The sequence below is a fragment of the Homo sapiens genome, chromosome 17 (genome assembly GCF_000001405.40).
Source record: "Homo sapiens chromosome 17, GRCh38.p14 Primary Assembly".
NCBI classification, from domain to species: domain Eukaryota; kingdom Metazoa; phylum Chordata; class Mammalia; order Primates; family Hominidae; genus Homo; species Homo sapiens.
Window position 1 is genome coordinate 46,021,882 of NC_000017.11, and position 13,800 is coordinate 46,035,681.

Below are 13,800 nucleotides of genomic sequence, written 5' to 3' on the forward strand. Positions count from 1 at the left end.
CCTGTTTTCCCAGTGTATTGAGAAAAATTGCTAACAAGCAGTGGGGCACACCACCAGCCTCCTGGGTTCCTTTCAGTTTGGGGATTTTTGGACATTCCCAGGAATGTCTTAAAAAACACTTCAAAAAACATTAACATAAATATTTTTATCAAAGCCTGTATTAAATGGTCTTTCAAGAAAATACAGTAACAGGTCAGGCATGGTGGCTCATGCCTGTAACCCCAGCACTTTGGGAGGCCAAGGCAGGCAGATCACCTGAAATCAGGAGTTCAAGACCAACCTGGCCAACACAGCCAAATCCCATCTCTACAAAAAATACAAAAATTAGCTGGGTGTGGTGGCACACACCTGTAGTCCCAGCTACTTGGGAGGCCGAGGCAGGAGAATTGCTTGATCCCGGAGGCGGAGGTTGCAGTGAGCTGAGATCGTGCCACTGCACTCCAGCGTGGGTGACAAGGTGAATCTTTGTCTCAAAAAAAAAAAAAAAAAAAAGATAAAATACAGTATACAGTAATAGAGAACAATCCTTTTTTCAAAGTAGTGACCCCAAATGAACAAAATATGCATCTAGCTTAAATGCGAACCTGGTTTTCTCTACGCCCATTCAAGCCCCTGCAATAGGGGCCCTTCACCCCGCATCCATGGACTCCTAAAATTATATGGAAAATGGCTGTGTGTGAGTGTGGATGGACATGTGCACACATATTTTTGGCTTTACCAGATGCTCAAAGAGCCTAGGACCCAAAAAGGGCTGAGAATGACCGTGTCGGCCACTTCAGGGTCATCAGGAATTGCTGTGCACTGCTCACTTCTCCAGTGAACACTTTCTGCTTCTGTGTTTCCTGGTATCCTTTGGGACTCCTGGCTAGGTCATGTGTTTCTCTACTTTCAAAAGGGCTTCAGCCAGGCACGATGGCATGAGCCTGTAGTCCCAGTTGCTCTGGAGGTTAAGGTGGGAAGATTGCTTGAGCCCAGGAATTTGAGGCCAGCCTGGGCAAGTAGATAGGTAGATGATTGATAGATAGATAGATAGATAAATAGATGGATAGATAAGTCGCTAGACAGTCATCCATCCACCCATCCACACATAAAAAGGCCTTTGTCATGTCATGTTTTGTGGCCCACCTGCCAGTGTTGCCCACAGTTGCTGCCCCTCCAAACTCATCAGTCACTGGCAAACAGGAGGAATGTGTGGCTCATGTCTGGGCATCAGTGGCTGTGGGAGACATCCTTGATCTTCTCCAGCTTCTCCTTCCACATTTTCCTTTGCAATCTGGCAATATCTATTAAAATAAAATGTGCATGCCTTTTGACCTAAGAGCTTCACTTCTAGGACCCACTTACACGTGTGTGACATGATGTTCATACGGGTTTATTTATCTGAGGTTGTTCATACACACCATTGCCTGTAATCACTAAAGGCGGGAGCAGCCTACACATCCATCCACAGAGGAGTAGATGCCTTTTGGTACATCCGTGGCGACGGAATACTAAGCAGCCTGTGTATCTATACACTCACACGTGTTTGTTTATGTGTGGAATATCTCTGGAGGGTACACAAGAAACTTAAAATGATCACTGTCTCTGGGGAGGGTACCTGGGTGCCTGGGAGGCAGGTCAGGGAAGGAGTGGGCACAGGTATTACCAATTGGAAGACAATAAAAACAACAGCTCCTGGCCAGGCGCAGTGGCTCACGCCTGTAATGGCAGCACTCTGAGAGGCTGAGGCGGGCAGATTGCTTGCGTCCAGGAGTTCAAGACCAGCCTGGGCAACATAGCAAAACCCCGTTTCTATTAAAAATACAAAAAATTAGCCAGGTGTGGTGGCATGCACCTGTAATCCCAGCTACTCGGGAGGCTGAGGTGGGAGAATCACCTGAGCCTGGGAGGTCAAGGCTGCAGTGAGGTGAGATTGTGCCACCGCACTCTAGCCTGGGCGATAGAGCAAGACCCTGTCTCAAAAACAAACAAAAAACAGTCCCTGGCACTCTGGGCCAGGCCTGGCAGGGCAGTTGGCAGGGCTGGTCTTTCTCTGGCACTTCATCTCACCCTCCCTCCCTTCCTCTTCTTGCAGATTGAAACCCACAAGCTGACCTTCCGCGAGAACGCCAAAGCCAAGACAGACCACGGGGCGGAGATCGTGTACAAGTCGCCAGTGGTGTCTGGGGACACGTCTCCACGGCATCTCAGCAATGTCTCCTCCACCGGCAGCATCGACATGGTAGACTCGCCCCAGCTCGCCACGCTAGCTGACGAGGTGTCTGCCTCCCTGGCCAAGCAGGGTTTGTGATCAGGCCCCTGGGGCGGTCAATAATTGTGGAGAGGAGAGAATGAGAGAGTGTGGAAAAAAAAAGAATAATGACCCGGCCCCCGCCCTCTGCCCCCAGCTGCTCCTCGCAGTTCGGTTAATTGGTTAATCACTTAACCTGCTTTTGTCACTCGGCTTTGGCTCGGGACTTCAAAATCAGTGATGGGAGTAAGAGCAAATTTCATCTTTCCAAATTGATGGGTGGGCTAGTAATAAAATATTTAAAAAAAAACATTCAAAAACATGGCCACATCCAACATTTCCTCAGGCAATTCCTTTTGATTCTTTTTTCTTCCCCCTCCATGTAGAAGAGGGAGAAGGAGAGGCTCTGAAAGCTGCTTCTGGGGGATTTCAAGGGACTGGGGGTGCCAACCACCTCTGGCCCTGTTGTGGGGGTGTCACAGAGGCAGTGGCAGCAACAAAGGATTTGAAACTTGGTGTGTTCGTGGAGCCACAGGCAGACGATGTCAACCTTGTGTGAGTGTGACGGGGGTTGGGGTGGGGCGGGAGGCCACGGGGGAGGCCGAGGCAGGGGCTGGGCAGAGGGGAGAGGAAGCACAAGAAGTGGGAGTGGGAGAGGAAGCCACGTGCTGGAGAGTAGACATCCCCCTCCTTGCCGCTGGGAGAGCCAAGGCCTATGCCACCTGCAGCGTCTGAGCGGCCGCCTGTCCTTGGTGGCCGGGGGTGGGGGCCTGCTGTGGGTCAGTGTGCCACCCTCTGCAGGGCAGCCTGTGGGAGAAGGGACAGCGGGTAAAAAGAGAAGGCAAGCTGGCAGGAGGGTGGCACTTCGTGGATGACCTCCTTAGAAAAGACTGACCTTGATGTCTTGAGAGCGCTGGCCTCTTCCTCCCTCCCTGCAGGGTAGGGGGCCTGAGTTGAGGGGCTTCCCTCTGCTCCACAGAAACCCTGTTTTATTGAGTTCTGAAGGTTGGAACTGCTGCCATGATTTTGGCCACTTTGCAGACCTGGGACTTTAGGGCTAACCAGTTCTCTTTGTAAGGACTTGTGCCTCTTGGGAGACGTCCACCCGTTTCCAAGCCTGGGCCACTGGCATCTCTGGAGTGTGTGGGGGTCTGGGAGGCAGGTCCCGAGCCCCCTGTCCTTCCCACGGCCACTGCAGTCACCCCGTCTGCGCCGCTGTGCTGTTGTCTGCCGTGAGAGCCCAATCACTGCCTATACCCCTCATCACACGTCACAATGTCCCGAATTCCCAGCCTCACCACCCCTTCTCAGTAATGACCCTGGTTGGTTGCAGGAGGTACCTACTCCATACTGAGGGTGAAATTAAGGGAAGGCAAAGTCCAGGCACAAGAGTGGGACCCCAGCCTCTCACTCTCAGTTCCACTCATCCAACTGGGACCCTCACCACGAATCTCATGATCTGATTCGGTTCCCTGTCTCCTCCTCCCGTCACAGATGTGAGCCAGGGCACTGCTCAGCTGTGACCCTAGGTGTTTCTGCCTTGTTGACATGGAGAGAGCCCTTTCCCCTGAGAAGGCCTGGCCCCTTCCTGTGCTGAGCCCACAGCAGCAGGCTGGGTGTCTTGGTTGTCAGTGGTGGCACCAGGATGGAAGGGCAAGGCACCCAGGGCAGGCCCACAGTCCCGCTGTCCCCCACTTGCACCCTAGCTTGTAGCTGCCAACCTCCCAGACAGCCCAGCCCGCTGCTCAGCTCCACATGCATAGTATCAGCCCTCCACACCCGACAAAGGGGAACACACCCCCTTGGAAATGGTTCTTTTCCCCCAGTCCCAGCTGGAAGCCATGCTGTCTGTTCTGCTGGAGCAGCTGAACATATACATAGATGTTGCCCTGCCCTCCCCATCTGCACCCTGTTGAGTTGTAGTTGGATTTGTCTGTTTATGCTTGGATTCACCAGAGTGACTATGATAGTGAAAAGAAAAAAAAAAAAAAAAAAGGACGCATGTATCTTGAAATGCTTGTAAAGAGGTTTCTAACCCACCCTCACGAGGTGTCTCTCACCCCCACACTGGGACTCGTGTGGCCTGTGTGGTGCCACCCTGCTGGGGCCTCCCAAGTTTTGAAAGGCTTTCCTCAGCACCTGGGACCCAACAGAGACCAGCTTCTAGCAGCTAAGGAGGCCGTTCAGCTGTGACGAAGGCCTGAAGCACAGGATTAGGACTGAAGCGATGATGTCCCCTTCCCTACTTCCCCTTGGGGCTCCCTGTGTCAGGGCACAGACTAGGTCTTGTGGCTGGTCTGGCTTGCGGCGCGAGGATGGTTCTCTCTGGTCATAGCCCGAAGTCTCATGGCAGTCCCAAAGGAGGCTTACAACTCCTGCATCACAAGAAAAAGGAAGCCACTGCCAGCTGGGGGGATCTGCAGCTCCCAGAAGCTCCGTGAGCCTCAGCCACCCCTCAGACTGGGTTCCTCTCCAAGCTCGCCCTCTGGAGGGGCAGCGCAGCCTCCCACCAAGGGCCCTGCGACCACAGCAGGGATTGGGATGAATTGCCTGTCCTGGATCTGCTCTAGAGGCCCAAGCTGCCTGCCTGAGGAAGGATGACTTGACAAGTCAGGAGACACTGTTCCCAAAGCCTTGACCAGAGCACCTCAGCCCGCTGACCTTGCACAAACTCCATCTGCTGCCATGAGAAAAGGGAAGCCGCCTTTGCAAAACATTGCTGCCTAAAGAAACTCAGCAGCCTCAGGCCCAATTCTGCCACTTCTGGTTTGGGTACAGTTAAAGGCAACCCTGAGGGACTTGGCAGTAGAAATCCAGGGCCTCCCCTGGGGCTGGCAGCTTCGTGTGCAGCTAGAGCTTTACCTGAAAGGAAGTCTCTGGGCCCAGAACTCTCCACCAAGAGCCTCCCTGCCGTTCGCTGAGTCCCAGCAATTCTCCTAAGTTGAAGGGATCTGAGAAGGAGAAGGAAATGTGGGGTAGATTTGGTGGTGGTTAGAGATATGCCCCCCTCATTACTGCCAACAGTTTCGGCTGCATTTCTTCACGCACCTCGGTTCCTCTTCCTGAAGTTCTTGTGCCCTGCTCTTCAGCACCATGGGCCTTCTTATACGGAAGGCTCTGGGATCTCCCCCTTGTGGGGCAGGCTCTTGGGGCCAGCCTAAGATCATGGTTTAGGGTGATCAGTGCTGGCAGATAAATTGAAAAGGCACGCTGGCTTGTGATCTTAAATGAGGACAATCCCCCCAGGGCTGGGCACTCCTCCCCTCCCCTCACTTCTCCCACCTGCAGAGCCAGTGTCCTTGGGTGGGCTAGATAGGATATACTGTATGCCGGCTCCTTCAAGCTGCTGACTCACTTTATCAATAGTTCCATTTAAATTGACTTCAGTGGTGAGACTGTATCCTGTTTGCTATTGCTTGTTGTGCTATGGGGGGAGGGGGGAGGAATGTGTAAGATAGTTAACATGGGCAAAGGGAGATCTTGGGGTGCAGCACTTAAACTGCCTCGTAACCCTTTTCATGATTTCAACCACATTTGCTAGAGGGAGGGAGCAGCCACGGAGTTAGAGGCCCTTGGGGTTTCTCTTTTCCACTGACAGGCTTTCCCAGGCAGCTGGCTAGTTCATTCCCTCCCCAGCCAGGTGCAGGCGTAGGAATATGGACATCTGGTTGCTTTGGCCTGCTGCCCTCTTTCAGGGGTCCTAAGCCCACAATCATGCCTCCCTAAGACCTTGGCATCCTTCCCTCTAAGCCGTTGGCACCTCTGTGCCACCTCTCACACTGGCTCCAGACACACAGCCTGTGCTTTTGGAGCTGAGATCACTCGCTTCACCCTCCTCATCTTTGTTCTCCAAGTAAAGCCACGAGGTCGGGGCGAGGGCAGAGGTGATCACCTGCGTGTCCCATCTACAGACCTGCAGCTTCATAAAACTTCTGATTTCTCTTCAGCTTTGAAAAGGGTTACCCTGGGCACTGGCCTAGAGCCTCACCTCCTAATAGACTTAGCCCCATGAGTTTGCCATGTTGAGCAGGACTATTTCTGGCACTTGCAAGTCCCATGATTTCTTCGGTAATTCTGAGGGTGGGGGGAGGGACATGAAATCATCTTAGCTTAGCTTTCTGTCTGTGAATGTCTATATAGTGTATTGTGTGTTTTAACAAATGATTTACACTGACTGTTGCTGTAAAAGTGAATTTGGAAATAAAGTTATTACTCTGATTAAATAAGGTCTCCATTCATGGATTCCAAGGACAAGAAAGTCATATAGAATGTCTATTTTTTAAGTTCTTTCCCACGCACCCTTAGATAATTTAGCTCAGAACAGGAAATGATAGTATTAATAAAAGCTGGACATCAGGATTAACAGCTCTCTCTGGGGCCCTGAAGGTGAGAGTTCTCAGACTTGCTCATTTGCAGTTGCTTCTTTGTGATGCTGGCAAACCATCCTAGTCCCATTCAAAGGGCAATACAAAGCCTTGTGGCTGACCTCACGATGCAGCACTCAGTTTGCAAGACCGGCACCAGTGTATGCAAACCTGAGAAGGTTGGGGATGAGGATATGGGATCTTTCATCCCTGGAAATTTAGTCCAGAGGCCTGGGGCTGGAGCAGAACACCAAGCCAATCAGCTTAATGAATGGCTTAGATTCCTGCTAGGTTTGCAGAGCTGCCTTCTTTCCTTTGGTACCTTATTATAGATTGAGGAGTATTTCTGCTAAACCAAGATAGGGATAACCAGATAGCATCTTCATAGCAATGCCACAAAGGAAAACAAAAACAAAACAGTAATCCATCATATTATTCCTTAGTAACTATGCCAAGGTCATGATACTGAATCCTTAGATTGTTTCAAAATACTACTTTTCTTTGCTCTTCCTGATGTGTTTGCCACCGCAGGCAGATGTTTAAGTAAAACAGATTTTAACTGCAGCTACAAAAGCAGCAACAGGCCAGCAAAAGAGAAGTGCTATCTCAGAGAGCATGGCTTTCAGAGCCACAAGAGACAGCCTCACTGGCTGTTTCAGCTTGACTGCCATGCAAAGAAGAGAGCAGAGGGAGAACCAGCCCCACCCACTTATTCATCTTGTACAAAAAAAAAGCACCTACCAGCCTAGGCTACATAGTGAGACACTATCTCCACAAAAAACCCACGAAAACTAGCTGGGTATGGTGGCACATGCCTACAGTCCCAGCTACTGGTAAGGCTGTGGTGGGAGGATCTCTTGAGGCCAGGAAGGAGATCCAGGCTGCAGTGAGCCAAGATTGCACCACTGCACTCCAGTCTGGACAATCGAGCAAGATCCCATCTCAAACAATAAAAAAAAAAAGCGTGTAACCTCCTCAGAAGAAAGATGTTATAATCTCAGGCAGCAGGCAAGAACCAATCCAGGCTCTAAGCAAATTATGTATCTCACTGACCCCACCAAACCTCAGAAAAATTTAACAGTGAGAAGCAAAATCTCCTTTAAAGAGCAACTTAGAACAGATAGAAAATATCATACAGCTGACTTCACTAGAGAGAAAGTGCATCAACTGCTTTCACTCAACAAAAAGAAAAAAGAGATGATCAATGCAGATCCCCTCTCCTCCTGGCAGCCCTTACCCTCAGTGAAAAGCCACCACCATTCTCTCTCTGGTGGCCATCAGATCAACCTGCGGCGTTCCCACAAGACAGAATGGAGATTTTCCAAGGTATAGAGCAAGTCAGAGTACCCCAAAGAACGGCGGCAGAGAGCCAGCTCCGAAACTGCCAACACTACCATGCATACACAGTTCAGTAAGTCAAGAAAGGCCTGGTACACAGCATTCTGTAACTTTTTTTTTTATTTTTTTCAATTTTTCCTTCTTTTTTTTTTTTAAGCACTAGTCTGTGCTTTGCGAACAGAATCAAGACATTAACAAAGATCAGCTTCTCTGAAGAAAAGCATTTCTATAGAACAAAGACAGCTACATGTTTCGCTGCCATTACACAGCTCCAAAGCAGGAAAAGAAAATATTTACAAAATACAAGGTTTTTTTTTTCCATTTTTTGTTTTTGTTTTTTTTTTCAATGCTAAAAGGGTTATTCAGAATTTTCAACCTTATAAATAGAAGAAGCACTTTATGCATAGGGATATGGTGCATTATTGTATTTTTTTTTAAAGAAACAATGACAAACCCTTTAACTTGCAAACAGAAAAAAAAATCACTAATGTTGAAAATTGTGAAAAAACCCCAACCATTAAGCAGTTGTCTACTATTTTTATACGATTACAAAATGGCCAAAAAAAAAGAGTCTTCTCCCCCCTCCCCCTTTTTGGTGATGTGATCATACAGGAGACAGGCACAAGGTTAACAGAGAAGGGTGAAGGGGGAACAATGGGAACCACAGCTAGGACCAGACAATGTTCCACAGGCAAGGGGAGCGTGAAAGACCAAGAGTGGAACTAACACCGACAGGGATCTGGATGTGAAGGAAACATGGCAAAGTGAATCAGAGGGAAAAAAAAAAAAAATCACACAGGGAGATGGCTGCTCACTTCCCACAACCCCCAGTTTGCAGGGGAGTGGGAATAGAGGTTAAGTAGTCCTAACCCTACCTTCAAAGATCAGGATAGGTGGTAAAAATATTCCAAGTGGAAGGACGGGTTGTGGGTGTGTACATGGCATGGGAGAGCAGACAGGGAAGGGTACCAAGGGGCATGAGGAGGGGAACCTGAGCAGCCACAGCCAGGTTACTGCAGTGAAAGAGTCAAAACAGAGAAGACCAAATGCAGATGAAACAAAAAATCAGTCTCTTAAGTTCTGGGTGAGAAAGGAAAGGTGTTCTGCCAGCTGAGCACTCGGGGAGAGCAGCTGGCAGTTATGGCAGAGAGGCTCTGGTGGGGATGTTCCAGCACGAAAAACCAAGGGGACCCAGCCAGGAGGGCCACAGCAGAGCCAAGCCACAGATGGGAGGGGAGGGGGTAAGAGTCCAGAGCACCCTGCCCCATTCCACCCTAGCTCAAGAAGGCCATGCTAAACTGTAGCCCGCCAGGCTGTTCTGCCCTGCCCACAGGTGTGAGGGAGGGGGTGGTCATCTAAGATCAGTAAGTCCAGTGATTCAACAGTGCAGAGGATGTGCCAGGACCAGGCCAGCAGGGTCTCATCCTGAACTTCTGTTTGCCAACGGGAGGAAGTGCTCAGGTGTGTGACAAGAAAACATGGAAACAAAAACAAAACAAAAATTAAAACAAGAAAAAAAAATACCAAAGTAGGATCTAAATTCCTTAAGTTCACTAAAAACTGTGAAAATTTCCGGCATATGATGTTTGAATATCAAACGCAGAGATTTCTGAAGCTTTAATGCCAATAGTTAGTGAGTCTGTTTAGATGGCTGTCTCCCGCTCATCTGTGAGTCGGGCGCTGAGCTGTGGCTGCTGCCACCAGATGCCGACTCTTGAGGGGGACAATGGGAGGCGAGGTGGGCGCTGCCTCTGTCTCCCGGCCAGTCTTGCTGCCTGAGGTGCGTCGAGTGCAGCGGGCTGCTCGCTCCTGTGCATCCAGCTGGTCCTCACACTCCGCCTGGGGACTGTGCGCCAGGGGGAAGGTCCGCCGCTCCCAGGGCTGGACAGACTGTAGGCAGACAAGTTGCTCTTTGAGGACCCAGTCCCAGCCAGCCTGCTTCCTGCTCCAAGGCCCTGCCACAAACCTTGTGGCCTGGAGCCTAGGACCAGTCTATCTAGTGTTCCTGCGACAGTCTGGGAACACCCCTCCTAGGGTATACCCAGACAACTGTATTGATCATTTAGCAGTGATCAATACAGTTCCACTGAACGTTGAGGAGATCAATTTAAGTGCAGCCCTTTGTCCCTTCAAAAGGGGGAGGGGATGGCTAGGTCCCTCTTCAGCAGATGCTGCCCCTTCCTGGTTCCATCCCCCAACCATGCCAACCCCACCCAAAGGCTGCGTCCCTTACCTGTTCATCCAGCCCCAGCTCTGGTGTGGAACAACGGGTATCCTCACTGGCTAAGTGTCGCGGAGTGTCCCGAGCCACAGGGGTGAGGGGTGCTGAGTGCAGTTCCGGGCTAATGGGGCTCCTAGGGGACTGACCATGGGAGTATTCTGACAAAGAGTGGCTACTGCTGACATCAGGGGAGGCAGGCTGGGGGGTGGAGGGGTTGGCACTGCCCAGCTGGGGGGTTGTCCGGCCGTCTGATGACCTGTAGGACCTGCACACCAAGGAATGCAAATCTGAGTGCCTGGGAAATGTTTACTTATGGGGGTAGAGGGCATGAAAAAAGCATCCCCACTGGAGGAGTTGAGGCAAACAAACACCAACAGATTTTCCTTAGGATCCAGCAACTCCCATTTCTTCCCACTATTCTCTGGAGGGGTAGGTATACAACATTTACCATCCCAAGAAAAAAGCATGGCTGAACAATGCCAGGTGAGTCCATAGCAAAGTGCCTAGTGAATTCAGGAGGTTAGGGAGATTCGTGTAGACTTTGAAAACTGTAGTCAAAGAAAAAAAAGTAAAAGTAAGAGCTCCCAAAACTTTCTACTTGAGAATCCCGAGGGTTTCTGCCACTGTTAACAATAAATGGAGACAGGGTAGTGATGGACGTTAAGGGGGGGCAGTTTCTTCAAGTGGCATCACAAAGCCACTGTCCAAAGGAAGGTTAACTTGTAGCGAGGCCTTCCAAGCTCCCCGGGTTGAATCACCATGACCCCCCAACTGTCTTCCAAATGCCACAGATCATGGGAATTCAGAATTACATAGTGACTTCTCAGCAAGGATCTAGCACTTGGCTCCTTATATCTCCACTAGTTCCATGTATCTCCACTAGTTCCAACAAACACCAAGGAAATTCTGAGCTATTTGCCACTGCCAGTAGATGAGTATGATGAGCAACCAAGAGGCAGTAGCAATTCCATGGACTCAAGTAGGGCCCAAACTCCCTGTCCACCCTCTCTCCACAGGCCCTGGGGACCCAAGCCTGCCCCATCACCTGCTGCCCCGCCGCTGGGGTGGCACACTCGTGGTCCACAGCCACCGTGCCCTCTCCATCTCCTCACATTTGGCATGCAGGGCGGCGAAGGCTGCGTCGGATAGGTCCTCAATCTGCAATAGAGCAGCTTCATCGATCCCCTCTTTTCTCCAGGAGTTAAGAACCAGTCCCACCCCATTCTAGGTTCTTCCCGGTCACGACAGGAATACAAGGAGCTTGCACTTCACACCCACAAGTCTTCAGGCCATTTAGGGTGTGTGCACTCATATGTATGTGTGCATGTGTACACACGTGTTCTTCTAACAGAAGAACCAGGCCATTACCTCTTCATTCTCCTCATCAGGACTCCCCTTCAGAGACTGAAGATCAACCTCCCGCCAGCTGCAAAACCAAGAACAGACAATCATGAGATGGCAAGCAGGCTAAAACTGGGGGCAGGGTCAAAGTGTCCATGCAAGGATGAGAATCCTGCACCTGTGGGTGACACTGCTCTCTGCCGGGTAGGCTCTGCCCTATCACAGCTCAGTCTCCCTACCCTGTCAAGGCCTGTGAAATTGGCCACCTACTCAAATGCCCAAGAAGGCCAGAAATGAGAGAAGCGGCCTAGGGTAAGGCTGAGGCTGAGAGACTGTGACAAACACAAGAAAAGAAACCTGTTTAAAGAGGACCACCACTGTTCAGGACCAGCTGATTGCTCCCATATGGAAATGCATACCCAGGGTTGCCTAATCTTCTGTTTGGCAACAAAAGCTGGAAACAAAGATTTTTATGTGAAATCCTGCTTTGATGTTGACAACAAATTCAGTATTTTAAAACATACTGTATGTGTTGACAAAACCGGTCTCTAGACCAGTAAGTGAATGGCCTACCAGGCTGTGACTGCTGGTTCGTTTGGTGTATTCCTATAATGGAATGAGAGAGAACTATATACAGAAATAATTTCGTTCTTATCAGATAAGAATTTCTCTTAATGAGAAGACAGAACCAAAGACTAGGGCCCAACTCTTGGTCAGAAGAGAAGAGGGAAAAAGGGCAATAGCAGGAAGAATGGGGAGAGGAGCCAACTATTCTGAGCTTCTACCTGGGCGTAAGGATTTCCTTGTATTGCAGTTTCTCTACGCGAGTTGTTGCAGCAACAGACATTGGGATGACAATGTTGTTAATATCAAATGAGCTCTCTCCCCTTCTCCTCCTTACTGGCTGCTGCTGTAAGATAAAAATTAAGTTTAAAAGGAAGGTACAATTTTACAGACATCAAATCATTCATCTAAGAGTTAAAGCAGGATCACCAATAACCAAGCATCTGGGTCCTTGGGTTGAAGCTGAGTAATGACCATAGCAGCTGCTCCCACCTAGGAGTCAGTCTCCAACAGCAAAAAACCTCACGGAGAAATACCAGGTGGTCATGAGGAGTTAGTCCCATTCATAAGTCCCACTGGTCACCCTCTTCCTTCAAGGGCTCATGCGTAAATTTCATAGGGGTGGGTACCTGGGATCTTAACTGTTGGGGTTCCTACTCTATATACACCTCTATTAACCTCCTCTCCTTTTACAATCTTTATTTCCTTCCTTTATCCCCGTTTATGACTTAAGACTCATAGTGGCCCCTCCCCTAAAAGCAATGCTTGAAAGCTTATGCTGAAAGAGGCCCAAAGGATAGGCCCATCTCAATACATCATCTAACCTTGGTTGTCATGAATGCACCTCCTTCTCAAAGATCTGAACTCTTCAGCTAAATCTGCACCCACCATCTGCCCAGTCTTTATGTGATTTCCCCTCTTTTGATGATTCTTGGGGAAAGAGCTGAGAGCTTTCTAGCTGTATCAAAGGAGATGAATGGAGGGAAACTAAAGAGGAGAACCTGACTATACCTCACATTCCTGGTGAAAGGAAATTTGCTTCTATAGGAAATAGTTGAGAAGACCAAACTCTTGGAAAAATAAGACTTCCAAGGATCGAATATCAGAGGCAGAGGTAAGCATCTACAGTAGCTGGGAGACTAGGGAACTAAATGGCTTAGTCTCTTGGATGGAGGAAGAAGTCTACTAGCTGCTGCTGCCCAGATAGTTAATACCCTATCCTGAAACAGAGACTAGCAACTGAGCTGTGAGAGGCCAGAAGGAAACAGTGGCATAACAAACACGCTGCCATGGCAACAAAACAGCTGGAAAACACCTAAGAGGCTGCATTTATACCTAAACCACCAAGTGTGGTCAGTCCACAGGGAAGGGGTTGGAGGAGTAAGAAGTCCCCTATAACTAACCCCTCTATCCTCTGTTCCTGGACGGTGAGATACCCTTTATTCATCCTATCATCTTAGGACATTCTCAGAGAATGTTAAAAGTCAGCACTTCCTGGGCCAGAGTTTCAGTCACTGTCATTTATAACTTCAGATGACCACAATGCCCTTTTCACTTCAATTTCTTTCTCTATCAAATCAGATGACTGCCATTGACCTCAGAAATTTAGGATATCTGGTTAACCAAAATGGTTAAACAGACTTTTGGGGATCTTGCCTGAGTTCTGTAGCTGAGGATTAGTGATCTCATACCCAGAGACCTCTGCCACTGCCAGATCTGTGCTGAAATTATACATCCCACTA

The 13,800-nt window shown here is 49.4% G+C and overlaps 2 protein-coding genes across 59 annotated transcripts in view, besides 2 other annotated features; one reads left to right on the forward strand and one right to left on the reverse strand.

Annotated features, from left to right (window-relative positions):
- The window catches only part of MAPT (microtubule associated protein tau), a 133,781-nt gene extending 127,328 nt beyond the window's left edge, over positions 1-6,453 (forward strand). For 28 of the 29 annotated variants that reach the window (NR_165166.1, NM_001377268.1, XM_005257362.5 and 25 more), the window contains one exon: positions 2,075-6,453. Coding sequence is in view for 28 of the 29 variants with exons in the window: in NM_001377268.1 (NP_001364197.1) it covers positions 2,075-2,290 (216 nt within the window). In the remaining variant the exon portion in view is untranslated. The remainder of the gene's footprint in view (positions 1-2,074) is intronic. The other variant, NM_001377267.1, reaches the window with a different exon arrangement.
- Positions 1,621-2,239: an enhancer, noted in NCBI's record as "H3K4me1 hESC enhancer chr17:44100868-44101486 (GRCh37/hg19 assembly coordinates)". NCBI's record gives its function as "activates a minimal SCP1, AML or CMV promoter by ChIP-STARR-seq in naive H9 embryonic stem cells {active_cell/tissue: H9 hESC(naive)}" and the evidence as "EXISTENCE:reporter gene assay evidence [ECO:0000049][PMID:30033119]".
- Positions 2,857-3,474: an enhancer, noted in NCBI's record as "H3K4me1 hESC enhancer chr17:44102104-44102721 (GRCh37/hg19 assembly coordinates)". NCBI's record gives its function as "activates a minimal SCP1, AML or CMV promoter by ChIP-STARR-seq in naive H9 embryonic stem cells {active_cell/tissue: H9 hESC(naive)}" and the evidence as "EXISTENCE:reporter gene assay evidence [ECO:0000049][PMID:30033119]".
- Positions 8,035-13,800, reverse strand: part of KANSL1 (KAT8 regulatory NSL complex subunit 1) — a 195,452-nt gene continuing 189,686 nt past the window's right edge. For 16 of the 30 annotated variants that reach the window (NM_001405884.1, NM_001405882.1, XM_047435800.1 and 13 more), the window contains 5 exons: positions 12,280-12,404; positions 11,522-11,579; positions 11,199-11,311; positions 10,166-10,418; positions 8,035-9,822 (listed from right to left, as the gene is read on the reverse strand). In NM_001405884.1, coding sequence (NP_001392813.1) covers positions 9,595-9,822; positions 10,166-10,418; positions 11,199-11,311; positions 11,522-11,579; positions 12,280-12,404 — 777 coding nt within the window. In that variant the 3' untranslated portion in view covers positions 8,035-9,594. The remainder of the gene's footprint in view (positions 9,823-10,165; positions 10,419-11,198; positions 11,312-11,521; positions 11,580-12,279; positions 12,405-13,800) is intronic. The other 14 variants (NM_001405885.1, NM_001405883.1, NM_001405861.1 and 11 more) reach the window with 3 other exon arrangements.